Below are 19420 nucleotides of genomic sequence, written 5' to 3' on the forward strand. Positions count from 1 at the left end.
CCCTAAGCCCTAAGACACAGCTTTAGATCTGTCAAATGGGGATAATACCTCCTTCAGTTGGCTGCTGTGGTAAGCAAATTAAATAATACAAAGTAAATGTAGTTATTGTTATTGTAACCATATAGTATGATGACAGAAACATTCATTCAGGGTTTATAGTGCACTGACATGCTTTCTAAATTGTTTCCACTGCCCACTTACTTCACCTGTTCATGCTTTTCCCCACTGCAATAGTACTGACCTTTATTAAACTAGCACTTTGGGGCTGGTTAGAGACCTATCTTCTGCAACTGGAGTAGTATGGAGTTTCATCTAGAAACCATAGAACTTGTGGGTCTTAAAGCCTATCCCCAAAGATATCCAATGCAAAGGAAGTATCTGTCATTGGAGTGCCAAAGGACATATGGAATGCCACATAAGGTGGCATTAACACCCCACAGCAAATTAAATTGGTAGTAATGAAGATAAAGTCATCATAATTAATAATGAAAAAGCAAGAATAGCAGCAAAATGCATCCTTCCTGAAAACTGTTAAGATTGCCAGTTTCAGTATGTGTACACATTCTGTAGGAGCATTGAACATTGTCGGCCTTGTACAGCGGCCAGATTCTTAAGAGAATGCTGAACTGGAGTTCTCCAAAGCTCTACAAACATGCTGAGTTAAGTTATGGATTCCAAATATTCTTAACCCTTAATAACTTATTTATTAGATTAATGATAAGTGCCTTTTAAATGTAAGCCAAAAATGAAATTGTATATACTCATACCAGTATTCACCCAAGAAAGGATTTTGCAATTGTGCATAAGTTAAGCAGTATTCAGTGAACTTGCTGCCTGCCACCTGCAAGTAACCTAGCTAAAATTGTCATAAACAATTAAAAATGTTATTTTCTTCCTTACCCACATTTTAAAGGTAGATGATCCCAGAGTTGGTCCAGCAGGGACACAAGGTCACATGGGGCCCAGGCAGTTTCCCTATTTCCATCTGCCCTCCTTAACGCATAGGGGATGCCTCCTTTTGTGGTCGCAGGGTGGCAGTGGTGGATCCAAACGTGGCATCTCACACAACCACTTGTAAAACCAGAATGGGAGAGTGAGGCTGATTCTCCCATGTGTGTCTCTCTTTTTTAATAGAGAAAACCTCTTTCTCCCAAAGTCCCCCAGAAGATTGCTTTTTCACATCCTCTTGGCCCTGATTTGGTCACAGACCCATACCCATAATGCAAGGGAGGATGGAAATGCAAGGATCTGGCATTTTCTGCATCCAAAAAGAGAGGTGGGCTCTACCTGCAAGAAAAGAAGAGGAGGGAGGGAGGGCCGGGCACAGTGGCTCATGCCTGTAATCCCAGGACTTTGGGAGGCCAAGGCAGGTGGATCGCTTGAGCTCAGGAGTTCGAGAACAGCCTGGACAACATGGTAAAATACCATCTCTACTAAAAATGAATTTTTTTAAAAAAGACTGGGCGTGGTGGCACACACCTGTGGTCCCAGCTACTGATGAGGCAATTCTTCTGGAGGCTCTAGGGAGAAATCCATTTCCCTGTCTTTTTCAGATTCTAGTTGCCCACATCCCTTGGCTTGTGGCTCCTTCCATCAGTGGCATCATTCTGACCTCTGCTTCTGTTGCCACCTCTCCTCTGACTCTGACCCTCTTGACTCTTTCTTAGAAGGACCCTTGTGATTGCGTTGAGCCCGCCCAGATAATCCAGGATGATCTTCCCATCTCAGGATCCTTAACTTATCCACATCTGCAAAATCCCTTTGGCCATGTAAGGTAACATATTCACAAGTTCCAAGTATTAGGACATGGACATCTTTGCTGGGGGTGGGAGGATTATTCTACCACAGAACTCAGTAAATATTGGTTGAATTGTTGCATGAGCAGTAGAATCTCAGCATTGGAAGCTTCTTGGGGTTTTTTTTTTTTTGGTGTTTTGTTTGTTTTGTTTTGTTTGAGACAGGGTCTCTGTTGCCCAGGCTGGAGTGCAGTGGTACGATCACAACTCACTGCAGCCTCAAACTCCTTGTCTCAAGCTATCCTCCCACCTCAGCCTCTCAAAGTACTTGGATTACAGGCATGAGACACCATGCCCAGCCTCAGAAGCTTCTTTAGACAGCACCTAATCTAACCTCCTACACGGTCTAAGAATCTCTTGACTGCCAGATAGTTAATCTGCCTCCACCTGAATACCTCTGGTGCTGGGATCTTCCAAATCTACACTTCCAGGATTGGACAGCTACGGACATTAAACATTTAGACCTTTCTAATTGCCTATGCACTGATATTACTTCTGCCCTTCTTCCTTCTGGAGAAATCTACTGATTGTATCTTCTCTATCACTATTTTTACTATATTTTGAAAAAAGAAGCTGTCTTCTTATATTCATCATTTACAAATCTTTACTTAGCATGTCTCTGTTAGTCATTTGGGTGCAAAAAGATAAAAGACAGCCCCATCTTTGAGAAGGATTTTGGAAAAACGAATTCTGCACATATGTAGTTAAGTAGCAATACAATTAAATGAGATCATCTACGTAAAGAGCTTAGTGCTGTCCCTGGCATACAGCAAATGCTCCAAAAATGCTCTTGTTGCTCTTCTTACCACTCACACATGCTCTGAGCCAAATGGATGATTCATGGGGAGTTTGGTGAGGGTAAAGTGACTGGCAAAGGCTCAGGGAGGAGGGGAGGTGTAAGAAGGGGCAGAATGTAAACAAGCTCAAGGCAAAGGGGAAGGCATTCCAGGCTGGACAAACAATAAGCAGGGGTCCAGAAGGCAGATTAAACGGGTCAAGCTCTGGGGAAATTAATGGACTCATTTGTCTCATGTGGAGTTTATCTTAACTAGCTTGGGCAAACCAGCCAGTACTTTATAAATATTGTCAATAGTAGCTATAGATAGCAACTGCTCAGCAGTCTCTCCCGAATGTCTCCTCCTGAGCCCTTCTCAGGCTGGTAGACTCAGAGTAAAGCCTGTCACCTCAGGCCCCCATATTGTTTCTAATGGGAAGAAGACTTCTTTTGACCTGCCTCTTTGATTCCCAACTCCGACCTGGATATCATCTTTCATTCCTCCCTGGCTCTATGTCCCACTGCCACTAACTAGCTCTGTCTCACTTTCCACTCAGGCTTACCCTCTAGAGCCTTGGGGATTGAACACAGACATTCATGTTGAGGAATAATGAAAGCAGGAGAAGTAGGGTCCAGGTCAGACTGTAGGCTTCGGAGTGGTTGATGGAAAACTGTTGCTTCTATGACAGTGATGATCAAGAAGTGCTTCAGGCTGCAGGGAAAGCATTAATTAGGGTACAGTGTGACCAATGGAGGAACTCAGAAGGAAGAGGACTGGAGAAGGAGTTGTCAGTCCCTTAAGCTCTCCACTGGCTCACCTCATCTGGACCCACCTTCCCCCAATCTTACTTCCTTCTTAAAGAAAGGTGATGTGACAAAGGATGATGCCTCTGGGTGATCCTTTTTCTCCCTGAAAACACACAAACACACATATAATGTGTTTTATTCTTTTATTTATTTATTTTTGAGACAGAGTCTCTTTCTTTCACCCAGGCTAGAGCACAGTGGTGCAATCACAGCTCACTGCAGCCTCAAACACTTAAATTCAAGTGATCCTCCCACCTCAGTCTCCTGAGTAGCTGAAACTATAGGTGTGCACCATGTCTAGCTATTTTTTTAACTTCTTTGTACAGACGGGGTCTCACTATGTTTACCAGGCTGATCTTGAAGTCCTGGCTTCAAACAATCCTCCCACCTCAGCCTCCCAAAGTGCTGAGATTACAGGTGTGAGCCACTGTGCTCAACCTAGTGTGTTTTATTCTAATAATAAATCTGATTTTCCATTTTGCTAGGAGTATGTGTGTGTGCATGTATATATATATATATATATATATATATATGTGTGTGTGTGTGTGTGTATTCTATATACTCCATATATAGATATATAAAGGCTCCATATATAGATATAGAGAGAAATATATATATTACTCAGGGAGGTGGGGAGGTAGAAGGGGCAGAATGTAAACAAGCTCAGGGCAAATGTATATATATACATATATATTATATATATACAAATATATATTATATATATGTATATATATAATATATATGTATATATATACTATATATTATATATATGTATATATATTATATATATACAAATATATATTATATATGTATATATATTATATATATACAAATATATATTATATATATATGTATATATATTATATATATACAAATATATATTATATATATATATGTATTACTCTCTCTGTATATCTATATATGGATCCTGTATATATGTATGGCACCTAATAAAAGTTAAGAGACAAGCCAGTGTGCTCTGTAATTCCCAGTGACTGAAGCTCAGCTTTGCCATTTTATTTCTGTTTTACAAGGAATTAGAAAACAAAGAGGTAAAGGTCAAATAATTCCTTGGCAAGACTAGTCAGATGTGACTTTATGGCCAACATTAACTTTACATGAAATTAAAATGGGAACTTTGCCCCTTCCTTTAAACCACCAGCCTGACAAAGCTCTTCTTAACAATGGTGCTACATTTGGCATCTGAAGACAAGATCAAAGTGTTTCATAATCTTCTAGCAGAGAGTTGAGTTGAACACGTATTTGAGATGATGAAAAAAGGAACTTAGAGAAAAACAGTGAGAAAATTTTTTTCTTTAAAATTTCTTATTAGAGACACTAATATTGCAATTTATATGTAAGAGAAGAAAAATACCATTTCTCCTAGAGAACTAGGTCTGTTAAAGCAGTTTATATAGAGAAACTGCAATTTAATACAACTGGAAAAAGTTAGCCTAGCATCTACCACATTTTTTTCAACTCTGTTTACTCAGTTATACAAGTACTTTACAGCAAGCAGACCTCTAATTGTGTAGTTCAGTGAATGAGAAATGGGACTTGCTGCGGAATAAATTCTGGGGTGTAACTAAATTACACACCATTTCCCATACTTTTTTTCTTTCAAATTGCCCATTACTTTAAATGAAAACATGGTTTAGAAAAGAACTGTAACCACTCAAAATTTCTGAAGGACCAGTCTCCCTTCTCCCTGGTGATAAAATGTACTTATGTTTGTATTTTTCAACATTCTCCTGCTGAAGTTCCAAGGGATTTCAAAACTTCATTCACAGTTTTCCAGTAAAACCTGTAAAATTCATTTTCAGATCATTGGTTTAGCATGATCCAGCTTCAGCTCCACTTTTAGCAAATGAATCCATCTTCGTTTCTATTCATATGACACCAGGAGCATTTCTAACGATGCCCCTCCCTGCTCACCATACTCCGTCATCCTGCACTTATGTATCATCTCACGCCAGCCGGGTCAGCCGGAGGAAGGCAGAACATGGGCTTGGGGAATTGGGAAGCCCGACCCACCAGGGCATCCTGCACAAGTTGCATAAGCTTTCTGAGCTTCAGTTTCCTCATCTGAAAAATGGGAAACATCAAACTTGCCTACTTCCTAGTTTTTTTCTGAGATCAGATGAGATTGCACATGCTGAAAACACTCTAAGTACTACTGAAATAATAGTTCCAGTAATCATTTTCTAAAATTGTTTAATGTGTGAGGTGTTTTGCTGTTTTTTTAAAAAAAAAAAACAGGTATAAGGAAAGTGCAAAAAAATTCATTTTCAGGTAAAAAGATGAGGAAATAGCCTGATCTATTTTTGATTGTTCTTTTTAGTGTGTGTGTGTGTGTGTGTGTGTGTGCGTGTGTGTGTTTCTGAGACAGGGTCTCACTCTGTCATCCAGGCTAGAGTGTACTGATGCAGTCATGGCTTACTGCAGCCTCAACCTCCTAGGCCCAAGCCGTCCTCCAGCCTTAGCCTCCTGAGTAGCTGGGACCACAGGTGCACACCACCATGCCCAGCTAATTTTTTAAATTTTTTGTAGAGCAGGGTCTCACTATGTTGCCCAGGCTAGTCTCAAACTCCTGGGCTCAAATGATCCTCCCTCCTTGGCCTTCCAAAGTGCTGGGATTATAGACATGAGCCACCACATCTGGCCTGGTTGTTCTTTTTAAATTATTATTCCATCCTATTAAGATTCTGCCCCTCAATGAAGTGAACCCTTCCAAGAACTTACACGATATTTTTTTGCTCCACCTCTATCCCCACCACTCTGCTATTACTTCCTGTAACCAGAGAGAAGTCACTAGACCAATTTAAATAGAAATCTAGGAAAATCCTCATATGCTAGCATTTCATGGTTCATGATTCTTCCAGAATTTGAGTTATTCTGTTTAGTACTCATTGAGGTAAGAAAAAATTAGAAAAGACTGCTCCTTACATTATCTTAGAGACTAAGGAATCACTTTTAAATCCTTTTTTCTTTTTTCTTTTTTTTTGCATTTTGAAGTTATCTATGTTCAGTGTCAGAAAAACAAAGTCTCCTTTTTTTGCAGCATTCATTTGTGAATTTTAGAGCAAGAAATTAATCTTAGCTGTAACATTTTAATGTCAAGTAAGCCCCTTTCTCATAACCCCATTTGAAGTTACACATTTTGCTACCATGAAACACACATGCTGGTTAATACAAACAAGTTACTCTGAACTGGGAATACACCCCCAAAATGACCTATTACTTCTTTCTCCTTCTCAGGAGAACTTTAATTTTGTGGCCTCCAAAAGCATTTTTAAAAACCAAAACGGTTTAAGGAAGGACGGTGGGCATATCTGAATACATGATTGTCATCTCCAAGAGCAGTAAGAGGATGCTGCTGAGGAAGCAGAGGTTAGTGTCAGAGAGCTGACTTCAAAGTTCAGCTCACCTCTTGTGCCATGGGAAGCCCAGGCACATCCCCATCCTGTGCTCCCTCAGAATCTCAACTACAAGTTCCTCATCCATGAGGTTGCAGTGAGGGTCCAGTGAGATCATATCTGCAAACAGGCTTGCAAGCTGAATTATTTAAATGTCAGCTTCTTATGATGAGGTGATCTGTGATATGGTTTGGCTCTGTGTCCCCACCCAAATCTCATCTTGTAGCTCCCATAATTCCCACATGTTGTGGGAGGGATCTGGTGGGAAATGATTGAATCATGGGGGCGGGTCTTTCCTATGCTGTTCTCATGATAGTGAATGGGTCTCAGGAGATCTGATGGTTTTAAAAATTGGAGTTCTCTACACAAGCTCTCCTTGCCTGCTGCCATCCACATAAGATGTGACTTGCTCCTCCTTCTCTTCCGCCATAATTGTGAGGGTTCTTCAGCCACGTGGGACCATGAGTTCTCCATTAAACCTCTTTCCTTTGGAAATTGCCCAATCTCAGGTATGTCTTTATCAGCTGTATGAAAACAAACTAACACAATCTACTGTGGCAATGCCACAGAAATTGGTTCTGTCACCAGGAGCAGTCACTATGCTGTAATCAAACCCAGTTGAAGAAGATAGTTTCTTAAAATTGGTGAACCCATCTGTGAGACTAAGTTGTTCTATTTTGATCTCCCTCATTTAAAATTCAATAATTCAAGGAAATGGAAATGACTAGACATGAATATCTTAAGGTGGTGATGATAGGCACCCTGATCCTAAAGGAAAGCACATATATACCCCAATTAGCCACTCTTCATACAAATGATAGTACCAGAACCCAGCCTTGCAAAAGTAGTTTTTTTTTTTTTTGCATATACACCTACACAGGGAAATAAGGTTGAATGTGGGTTCCTTTTGCCCTCCTAATGGGTCTTGATTGACTGGAAGATGAGGGATAGAGACCAAAGCAAGTCTCTAATCCAAATCTGCAGTTTTCCATAGCCAGTAATCCCACTTTGAAATTTTAAATGTGTCCCTTCAATAGAATTCTAGATTTCTCCTCATCAATTACCAACATATTACCCAATCTATAGCATCAAAATGAGGTAGCAACCTGAAATTGTCTTTTTTTTTTTTTTTTTTTTTTTTTGAGGCGGAATTTCGCTCTTGTTGCCCAGGCTGGAGTGCAGTGGCATGATCTCAGCTCACTGCAACCTCCGCCTCCCAGGTTTCAAGGGAGTCTCCTGCCTAAACTTCCTGAGTACCTAGGATTACAGGCATGCGCCACTATGCCCGGCTAATTTTTGTATTTTTAGTAGAGACGGAGTTTCTCCATGTTGATCAGACTGGTCTCAAACTCCCAACTTCAGGTGATCCGTCTGCCTTGGCCTCCCAAAGTGCTGGGATTACAGGCGTGAGCCACCGTACCCGGCCTGAAATTGTCTTTTGGTGTTAGTGGGTTTGCTGCAGCTTCTCCCACCTTAACAGTATTAATCACAGCATTGCAGGCTGTGCCTTGGCGCCCCATACATGTGAGTCTTAAAGGTCACTTAAATCAAATGTGTGACTATATTTATACTCTCTCTCTCTCTCTTTGTCAGTTCAGAAGATTTAGTATCCCACTTCATGTACCTCAAAACCTAGTTTAATACTATGGAAAGTCACCTATGTCCCGTTGTGCACACAAAGCCTAACTCCATAATTCAGACTTAAGGTGACAAAGGGTGGACTAGATGGAGCCTCAACACAGAAAAAGGCCAGAACACAAAGAGGCACCCACAGACACTCAGAGTGGTGGCTAATGGGTTGAGTCTTCTCAAGTGATGCCTCATTGAAGAGGAAGCTCCAAGGCGACTGAGCATAAACACCTGATCAGACGTCTCCTGAATAAGCCTACAGCCTTTGGTTCCTTGTCCAAGTGACATTCTGAAATTAATGCCTTTCATGCAGAACACACCCAACATTTGAAAAGTAACAAGATTTAGTGCTTACAGGGGCTGTTTGGTATCTTTTTCACCAAAACCAGAAGTGTTTCCCATTCACCCCGAGTGTGTGTGTGTGTGTGTGTGTGTGTGTGTGTGTGTGTAAGATGCCAGATTAATTTTGTTTACAAAATATTCACATTGGAACCATGAGGTTTATTGAGAGTCCCTGGTTACACCCTCCAATCAAACATCTCATTCACCTGGGCTTTCATGTCAGTGCACCGCATTCCTGGTGAGAGTTGATGACAGTTGCATCTATGTCCCAGCAGCCTGTTCACTATTGATGAATTAATGAAAATAAAGCTGGGGCTCATGTGAAACATTTGAGCAAGTGTAATAGAAGGCTGTGAATAATAGCTGTGGATACAAATAGGTCAGACTCAGGAAGCCTGGCAGAGGTCAGATGGGCCCTTTTACAGTGGGATGCACTGTTTCAGGAATTCACATTAACCACGATCAGACTCCCCAAACATGATAGCCATGTAGAAGAAAGATCTAATACAGCCTAGCCTATAAGGTGGGTATAAGTCTGATAATCTAACAATAATATTAAAAATTGAGGGAGAGGACTCCATGGTTTCCTCTCAACATTACCTAGATAGATTCAATAGCTGTTTGACAAACAATAAGAAGATTTAGATTAAACAATCCTTTTCCAGGAAATACTCTTGAGCCTGTTCTATGCAGCTGCACCTTAGGCAAACTTATTAATTGCTTCAAATAGGTCCCTGTCTTAAATCCAAAATTCCCTGAGAATTTGGGAACTCCTCAAGGTCCCTGTCTTGAGCAGTAATTGATATTTTTCCCCTAGAAGCAGAGCCTGAGACAAGAATTCTCATGCAAGTGCATTATTAGGGAGCCCTCTGAGGAGAAGCAGGATAGGGCAGGGGTAAGAGCTAAGCAAAGATGTGGTCCTGGCTCCATCCTAACTTCAGCCTGAGACCATGGTGAGCTCTGGGGCTCAGCTTGCACCATGGATTCATCCCAGCTTGAGGCAGGGAGCCAGACTGTAGTGGGCCCTTAGCAGCAGTTCGGTGGCTGGGTGCCTGGCCAGGTGAGCAGAGGAGAGGGGATGCCCCTACACTGATGAGACCAAATGCATAGCAGCCATGCAAAGTGGTAAAAGAAGTGGTTCTCATCCCATCCTGACGTCACTAAGGACATGACGGCATGGCCATGGGCCCTTCGCATGACCTCTCTGAACATCAGTTTCCTCATCTGTAAAATGGAAGAGTGGGTGGCAGGATTGGATTAGGTGATCCCTAAACTCCAAGCTCTGAATTGCGGTAATTTCAACAAGGGAAGTGGTGGAGAGGCTTGTTGAGGAATAATTGATGTTTTTTCTATTCACAGAAGAGAATTCATTAATGTAAATGTGTCCCTGAATGACCACTCTGTTAATAGCTCTTCTCTTACCTGGAATAGCACTGAATGCACAGGCAACTCTAAGAAGATGAGCAGTAAAATTTCCCTGAAGGCATATATTCTAAACAGGACAGCAAGAATCTGTCTTTAAATAAAGTGTTTTGAGGGCGGTTTACCTCAAGGGAGTGTTAATACAACCAGACAACCTCATTTAACTGACTCAGGCATCAAAGTGAATTAGAGGCAAGAGGCCAGCATAAAGCACAAGCCAGAGGCTGTCCCTTCAAAATGGTACAACCTCTGTGGGGAGCAGTTTGGCAAAATTCGATCAAAATTATAAATACATTTACTCTTTGACCATGCAGTCCCCTCTCTCGAAATTTAGCCTGCAGTATGAAATGATATTTATGCCAATTTACTCACTGTGCCACTTTTTCCAAAAAAAGTTTGAGACTGGAAACTACTCACTGATCCATCAATAAAGGACTAATTAAACAACAACAATTATGGTACCACATATACAATAGAATGCTGTGCAACTGATGATATTTGGTACTGAGAACATTCTGTACTTATATGGAAATTTCTCCAGGATACATTGATCAGAGAAAAAGCAAGTGGAGGAGCAATGTATTATAGAATAGTATTATATCGTAAACACATATGCATGTATAATAAAAGTATAATGCTTTTGTATAAGAAGTGGAGATCATAATATCTATTTATGTTCACATGTATCCCTGGATATCTAGAAGTCATTTTTGTTTGCCTCAAGAAAAATCTGTATAAGTGGTTACCTATGAGGGGTGACAGAGTGGAGAAATGATACAGGTGAAGACATAGGTGAGAGTGAGAGTTCTCACCTAGTGCCTTTTTATAAAATGTTTTTCTGAATTTTTTTCCAACCACCATGGGCTACTCCATAAGGAATAGAGCATCTGTTTGATTAAATTATTTTTTAATGAAAACTTTAAGGTAGGAATCAATAAAAACTGATCACCCCTACTTCCTTTATTTCATGCTTTGGTTCGGGGATTGGCAAATTATGGCTAAATAGTTGCCCTGTAGGGGCCGGGCACGGTGGCTCATGTCTGTAATCCCAGCACTTTGAAAGGCCGAGGTAGGCAGATCACTTGAGGTCAGGAGTTTGAGACCAGCCTGGCCAACATGGTGAAACTCTGTCTCTACTAAAAATACAAAAATTAGCGCAGCACGGTGGTACATGCCTGTATTGCCAGGTACTGGGGAGGCTGAGGCCCAAGTTGTTTGAACCCGGGAGGTGGAGGTTGCAGTGAGCCGAGACTGCACCACTGCGCTCCAGCCTGGGCAACAGGGCGAGACTATGTCTCAAAAAAAAAAAAAAATGGTAGTTGCTACAGGGGACATGTTGCTCACAATGATGAAAATAGTTACTATCTGGCCCTTTACAGAAAACTGTTTCCAACCCCAGCTTTAAAATTTGGAGTTACTCATAAAACCGCTGTGATCACACCTACCACTAAGCTTCTGATACCAAAGGATTTTGTCTTCTTGAAGTCAGCCTTCCTGTCCACAGATAGTTTTTGCACTTTAAAAAAAAAAAAAAAAAAAAAAAAAAAAAAAAAAAAAAAAAAAAAAAAGAGGTGAGATACTGTACTGGTTAAGAAGAGAGCATGTACTTGGGACAGATGACCCAGGTTTAATTCTGAGCTCTGTCCCTCACTACCCTGTCACCTTTGGAAAGTTAACTTTTAGAATTCTCAGTGTCTTTGTCTGTAAAATATTGTCCCTCATAAAATTGTTTGGAGGTGCCTCCCTCTTACAGTTGTTAGGAAGTTCAAGTAGGCCAGTGTTGCCAAGGAGTTCAGCAAAATACCTGCTGTTATTATTATCTAATATTGTGATTTTTTTAACAGGGTGATGACCAGTTAAATGTATTTGGAGAGGACACTATGGGAGGTGAGTTTTCCTTACTGATCAGATCAAAGTTGTCATTTTAGTAACTTTGACCATGCCTTTTTAATTAAACATCAACTTGAGAGAAAAAATATTAACAGCATCACTTTTTCCTTGGCCAGGGAGCATGATTAAGAGTAGAACTCTTTGGGTCTTTCCTGCCTCCATCCATGTAAAGAACCAAAGGGGTGCATTGCTAAGTGATGCATTTCTTAACTGCCCAGAGAACATGATTCCCGAGAGGCTCAGCGAAAAGAGGATGCTCTACTCAAATATCTTTGAAACATGCTTAACACCAACTCCCCACTGGAAGATCCAAGTATATAATAGCATCCAAAGCTCCCACAAGTCCTGCAGTAAAAAGAGTTGTTAAACTTTAATTCAACATTCATTAAACATAATTGAAACACAAAAATATTTTTCCTGCCTGGTAGTTACTATTCCACGTGTACCTTTGGAACTCAACCTACCCTACACCAGGATTATACTGCTTTGTAATTTTTGTCATATTAAAAGTTTTGCAAATGGCCAGGTGCAGTGGCTCACGCCTGTAATCCCAGCACTTTGGGAGGCCAAGGCGGCCGGATCACTTGAGGTCAGGAATTAAAGACCCTGGCCAATATGGTGAAACCCTGTCTCTACTAAAAATACAAAAAAATTTAGAAAGGCATGGTGGTGCACACCTGTAATCCCAGCTACTCAGGAGGCTGAGGCAGGAGAATTGCTTGAACCCAGGACGATGAGGTTTCAGTGAGCCAAGTTTGCGTCATTGCACTCTTGGCGACAGAGTGAGACTACGTCTCAAAAAAAAAAAAAAAAGTCTTGCAAAAAGTAAAAATTCCACCCATAACTAGCTATGCATGTAACTGAAAATAGATATGATTATGTGAATTTGGGACTATCCAAAAAAGAAAAGGTTCATAATTGTCCTAAGTAAAAATACCTTCTAACATATCTACCCTGTAATAAAAGTTATAATATAAGTCATGGAAATATGTTTATAGTATTGATTCTAAACACATATAAGTAAGTGATTTAGCTTTTTAAATAACCCCAGCTCTAATCCTGCACAGATCCATGAGCACAAGGTGGTGGGTAAAGTGTCATTTGATGATAATGGCAAGAGCAGTATGTGAAAATCACAGTCACCAAATGACATCTTGGTGATTCATGAGGAGAGGTACAAATATATGAGCCATAACTTAGCTGTCACTTAGCTAAGTGCAAATAATCAACTTGGTCTCAACTGGATAGGGGATGACTGATTGCCTAAGAAATTTTCTCTTTTATTCTAGTTATAAAATTAACACATACTATAGAAATTTTTTAACGTATAAAATAAGAGCCATTTAAAACCTTATGACATAAATTATCATGGTTAACATTTTGGTACATTTCATTCCAATGCATTGCCTATATATCTATTTTTACATAGTTGAGAATGCATGTGTATATATAAGTATCTCCAAATGTTTTGTATATATCACAACATAAACATGTTCCCATGTCATTAAAAACTATATACTTAATTTGTAATGACTACATTAGATGAATGTCATGTACCATCATTCATTTTAAAACAACTATTTTTTAAAACTGAAATAGGATACAATCATACCAAAAAAAATCACAATAATAACCAGGACCATTTTCCTAGATTGCAAATAGGCTCAGAGTTCCTCAGCTTCGTAAATGTAAACTCACAGGCTAGAGAACCTGAGATGACCATCTGGTTCCACATGTTAGGAACACCAGTGTATCTGCCTTTAATAGAAAACTCCAAACAATGTAAGGTGTTTCCTGTCACCATGGGTTATTCTGTAAAGAGACTGGATTTGATTTAAAAATTCTCTTTGTTTGTTTGTTTTTTGTTGTGGAAACCATATGGTTTCAACGATCCCAAACTTACTTCTATCCTCTGTTTCCAGCTCTTTCTCCTCTCTTTGTCCCCAACCCAATTCATCATGCCCCATGCTCTCTCTTTCTCTGGTAGAGTTGGGGCTTCACTCAGCTGATTGTGAATTCCTACAAAATGTGGTATCGTGCATATAAATGAACTACCCCAATTTCACTAAAAAATGTTTCCTGTCAGAATAATGATCTAACTTTCAAAAGTAGTTATCTACAGAAAATATGAACTGCTGTTACTCAGATACATTTATTTTAAAAGGAAATTTTATATCACTACCTTAAATGTAAAATAACATTATTTGCTCTAAGTGAAACTATTTTTTAAAATATTATTTCCCAGATACTCTACTTGTGTTTTAACCATCTGTATATAAAGGAAGCTTAGCAAATGTTTTAAATGTGAAATAACACCAAACTGAGATAGTTAGGATGATTTAAAAGTAATTTTTAAAAATAGCTTTCTTTGTGATTCATGCTATTAAATGACGTAAATTTTTGCCACCAAAAGTTGATCGTGCATGTTAAAATAAAAATACATTACCGGGGTGGGGGAATAAGACTGAAATAAGCAGGGCACGGTGGCTCACACCTGTAATCCCAGGACTTTGGGAGGCCAAGGCAGGTGGATCACTTGAGGCCAGGAGTTCAAGACCAGCCTGGCCAACATGGTGAAACCCCCTCTTTAATAAAAATACAAAAAGTAGCCAGGTGTGGTGGCATGCCTATAATCCCAGCTATCCAGGAGCCTGAGACAGGAGAATGGCTTGAACCTGAGAGGTGGAGGTTGCAGTGAGACAAGATCGAGCCACTGCACTCCAGCCTGAGCAACAGGGTGAGACCATCTCAAAAAACAAACAAACAAACAAAAACACTGAAATGGTCATTGGTGCCTACTAATTGTAGCCTATTCACACATTTATTCAACTTCAAGCTTTTTATCAAATAAAACTACAAGGTTTGGGTTTTTATATAATATGAGTAAAACCAGGGCTTCAGTACAGTTTTTCTTGCCAATAACTTAAGTTATTCTTATTTTAAAGGTTTCATGGAAGATTTGAGAAAGTGTAAAATTATTTTCATAATTGGTGAGTAACAGCCCTTGCATTTTCTAACAATACAATTGCTAATAATAAGAATTTGGTAGTGGGCCAGGTGCGGTGGCTTACACCTGTAATCCCAGCACTGTGGGAGGCCAAGGCGGGCAGATCACGAGGTCAGGAGATCGAGACCATCCTGGCTAACACAGTGAAACCCCATCTCTAGTAAAAATACAAAAAAAAATTAGCCGGGCATGGTGGCGGGCGCCTGTAGTCCCAGCTACTCGGGAGGCTGAGGCAGGAGAATGGTGTGAACCCGGGAGGCAGAGCTTGCAGTGAGCCGAGATCGCGCCACTGCACTCCACCTGGGTGACAGAGCAAGACTCTGTCAAAAAAAAAAAAAAAGGAATTTGGTAGTGAAAGAGACTATTTATTTCTCATCCTGTTTTGAAGTCTTTTTGGTCAAAATAGTACCCCAAGTTTTCCGGTTATTTCTTTCACGTATGCAGTTGTATATTGCTTTGGGATTTGTATCTTTTCAGCATGGAAAAAGTAGGGCTTGAAAGAATGTCAAACTTCTGAGTTTAGCTCTACAATAACAAAGTGCATTAAAAAGGTAAGAGGTTGTCATGTATTAAAATCTAACACACATCTTTTCAGTTTAAACACTGACCCCCTCCTTCCTAAACTGAATGCATCAATTGCCTCATGTTCAAATATAGCTCAATAGCCAGATCCTGATTCTATACAGCAAACAGTAAAAACTATCTAATTTGCTCTTTGCTCTAGTACAGTGAAACTTATTGATGGATTAATTGTGGGAGAAAATGTGTTTGAGGTTTACCAACATTTTCTGAGCACCCACTATGCTCCAGGTTATCTCAATTAATCCTTATACAATCCCATTACCTAGTCTATTCCTATTACATATCTATTACATAGACAAGAAAAATGAGACTCACAAAGGTTAAGGAATTTGTCCAAGATTATGAAGCTAATGAGTGTGTGAGGGCCAGATTTCCAGTTTTCCTCATGGAAATAAAGGGAACTAGTTGTGCAGTAGTTAAAAATGCATAAAAAAAGGACAAATATTATCCTTTCAAAACTTAGTACTTTTTCCTCTAATCATTCAAGTGCCTCAAAAAATTAGTACACCTACCTGTACATTTTCCAGAAAATGTCTATTTATATTCAGAAATAATGAAAAGGTCCACACCTCCTCAATGAGTGGGAAAAGAATGGTTGTCAACACTACAGAAATATAATCAGATAAACTTAAGACTCTTGCAAGTTAAGATCAGAGTGCCTCCTTGGAAATCTCTGGGTAAAGTTCTCTCATTGTTAGATGAGGAAACTGAGGCCCAGAGAAGTTAAGGGGTCTGATCACAGTCATTCAATTAACTGGTATCAGGGAGAGGACCAGGGTCTCTGACTGTAGTTCCTCACTCCAGGCTTCTCCCTCCTCTGCCACTCAGTTGTGTTGGTTGTTAACCTGAACGCAAGCTGTCTCACACATTCAGCCATCTGACACATGCTTATTGACTGTTGGACCCCTGCTGGGCAGTGAGGAGTCACAGAGCTGCCATCTTAGATGAAGAGAATAATGGATATATCATTAACCTTGAAAAGTATTAGGAAGGAACCAAAGAGCTGAAATAGGGAACAACCTGGGTCAAGTGTTTGGAGTAAAATTAGGTGATTACTTTAGAGAGGGTGACCAGGGAAGGCTTCCCTAAGAATGTAACATTTAAGCAGAGAGATAAAAGGAGAGATGGGCCCAGTGAAGGGATGAATGGGAGGTGAGAGGAGGCAAAGAGAACAGTATGTGTCAAGCAGTGGGAATTCTTGAGACCTACCTTAGTTCCAGTTGTCATCTGCTTACCTCTAGCTGACCTTAACTGTGGAAACTGGATGGACTCTTCCCACACTTATTTTACGTTTTTTTCAGAAAGTAAAACTATATATTGCTTATATCTCTTATTGAAGAGTAACCCAATGTCATAATTGCAAAGGAAAATTAGTTGTGCTATAGATTACTAAAATTCCCTTTTCCACATAAGTTTTAATAATCAATTTTCCTGGCATCCAGACCATACAGAGTCTTATATTTTCTATTCAATCTTTATATTAGGAGCCAAGTTAGGAAAAGGGGAGACCCTTTAAACTTGACAGCTAGGAATTCACAGTAGGAGCCTGTATTAGTCAGCGTTCTCTAGAGGGACAGAACTAATAGAATACATATATACATATAGGAATTTATTAAGTATTAACTTACGTGATCACAAGGTCCCACAACAGGCTGTCTGCAAGCTCAGGAGCAAGGAGAGCCAGTCCGAGTCGCAAAACTGAAGAACTTGGAGTTTGAGGGTAGGAAGCATCCAGCATGGGGGAAACATGCAGGCTGAGAGGGTAGGCCAGTCTCTCCTTTTCACATGTTTCTGCCTGCTTTATATTTGCTGGCAGCTGATTAGATTGTGCCCACCAGATTAAGAGTGGATCTGCCTTCCTCAGACCACTGACTCAAATGTTAATCCCTTTTGGCAACAGCCTCACAGACACACCCAGGATCAATACTTTGTATCCTTCAATCCAATCAAGTCCACTCAGTATTAACCATCACAGAGCCCTTTATTATCACATAGAAATCTGTGTTTTTAATAATGTGGTCCAAAGAAGCTTCCAAAAATAATACAGTATGTTTTGTGGTGGTTGTTACTGTCTTGGCAGTAATATTACTTCAGATTTATCCATTGTTTAACACTCACAGTTGAACTGTGAAATGCGTTGTCAAATGCCACTTCCTTCTCTCTAGGCATAACTAAAGACCTCACCTGTTACTAAGTCCTGTGCCCTTCAAAAGGTCAAACAGCACAGTAGAAGATCTTTGGAATTAGACAAAGCTCGAAACCTCCAAGGGTCCACAGACCACCCTCTAAGAATTGCTGCACTGAGCAAAAGATTTTTCTTCTATCTAACAAAACTCTCCTGTATTTCAATTTACTGATCAGTCACTCTTCTAGTAAAAGAGATTTCAGCTTGCTGTTTGGGCCATAGAAGGTACAAAGCCACTGTGATACAAGGGAAAACGACTGCTCTTCTTCTACTGTACATACTGAACTCTGAGAATTAAGGCCTTAGTTCTAAATATGTCCTTGACAGGTGGCAGAATGGTATTTTGGGACTGCTTTATTGTAAGTCAATTTAACCTTATGAAAATATTCCAGATGTCATAGACACACCCATAGCTGTTTTGATGAGTTCACTTTCAGTGAAACAGAGTGGTTTTGTCTATTTGAGAAGATGACTGGATTGTCACTTTTCAAATTATTGTCTTGGCATATACCCGAAAAACATTGGGGCTGCAGTATTAGCCAGAGTCTAGGTTGACATCCTCACTATTCGCCTTAAGACAAAATTAATATGCCTAAAGCATTCTTCCCCTGTTTTAACATATCCATTAGATCCTTTTTGTCCACAGAAAGGTCCAGACTTCTTAGACTGGCCTTCTGGTCTTTCCCATTTCCCGCCACACTCCCATGTCAATCTTTGGCTCCAGCCACACCTGCATCCTTATTATCGCTTGAGCTTGTCGCACTTTGCCAGCCCTTTCACTTGAAATGTCTTCTCCCCTATTAATCATGCCCCAAGGTCAGGGTTAAGTTCTAGCTCCCTGAGAACTCCGCTGTAATCACCATCCTTCCTCCTCTGCGCTCCTCCTCCCTTGTGTCTACATCATTCATTTGGGTACTACTTAATGACTAGAACAACAAATATTTGTTGGAATAATGAATTCTTTAAGAAGCAGTGTGGTCTGTTTCCATAACAACCAAAATTGCAATTGGAATTCCTGGCCTAGAACTGACAAGCAGCTTGTTGCTGCTGTGGCTGTTTCTTGCAGGATGGTTTTCATGTTAATTAGGAGCCTAATCAGATGCTCCTTTCTCCATGAAGCTGCTACCCTCTCACTGAGAGCAAGCAAAAGCAACTTTTCCCCTGAGCTGGTGCTGTTTCTTGCTCATTTGCAGGGCAGTAGTCACAGGTGGGAGCAGGTGATAGCCCTGATGGTCATCTGAGTGGAAAAAATGTTCAGGGCAAGTGTACCATCTGCACCAAAGGGGAAGGTGGCAAGGACGGACCCAGTCCACCCTTTGAATAATGTGTGACTATATATTCTTGTTCCCGAAGAAAGCAGCTCAGTAGCTGTTTATAAAGAAATACTTTTCAAAAAACAAAGAAGGGATTCCCACAGGGTAGGACCAGATGATCCAAAGGATTGAAAAAGATTCTATGGACTTCAGTTGTTCACATACAAGATATAAGAACCTGCACTGATATACAAGACAGGAGCTCAATCACTTCTGAAAACTGAAAATTATTTGGAAAATGTAAAAATAGCCTTTA

At 40.1% G+C, this 19420-nt stretch overlaps 1 protein-coding gene across 8 annotated transcripts in view; it reads left to right on the forward strand.

Moving 5' to 3' along the window:
• AK5 (adenylate kinase 5) overlaps nucleotides 1-19420 on the forward strand; it is a 277948-nt gene that overhangs the window by 189267 nt on the left and 69261 nt on the right. For all 8 annotated transcript variants that reach the window (NM_174858.3, XM_005270739.6, XM_017001012.2 and 5 more), the window contains 2 exons: nucleotides 12032-12074; nucleotides 15023-15067. In NM_174858.3, coding sequence (NP_777283.1) covers nucleotides 12032-12074; nucleotides 15023-15067 — 88 coding nt within the window. The remainder of the gene's footprint in view (nucleotides 1-12031; nucleotides 12075-15022; nucleotides 15068-19420) is intronic.

The sequence above is a fragment of the Homo sapiens genome, chromosome 1 (assembly GCF_000001405.40).
Source record: "Homo sapiens chromosome 1, GRCh38.p14 Primary Assembly".
NCBI lineage: Eukaryota > Metazoa > Chordata > Mammalia > Primates > Hominidae > Homo > Homo sapiens.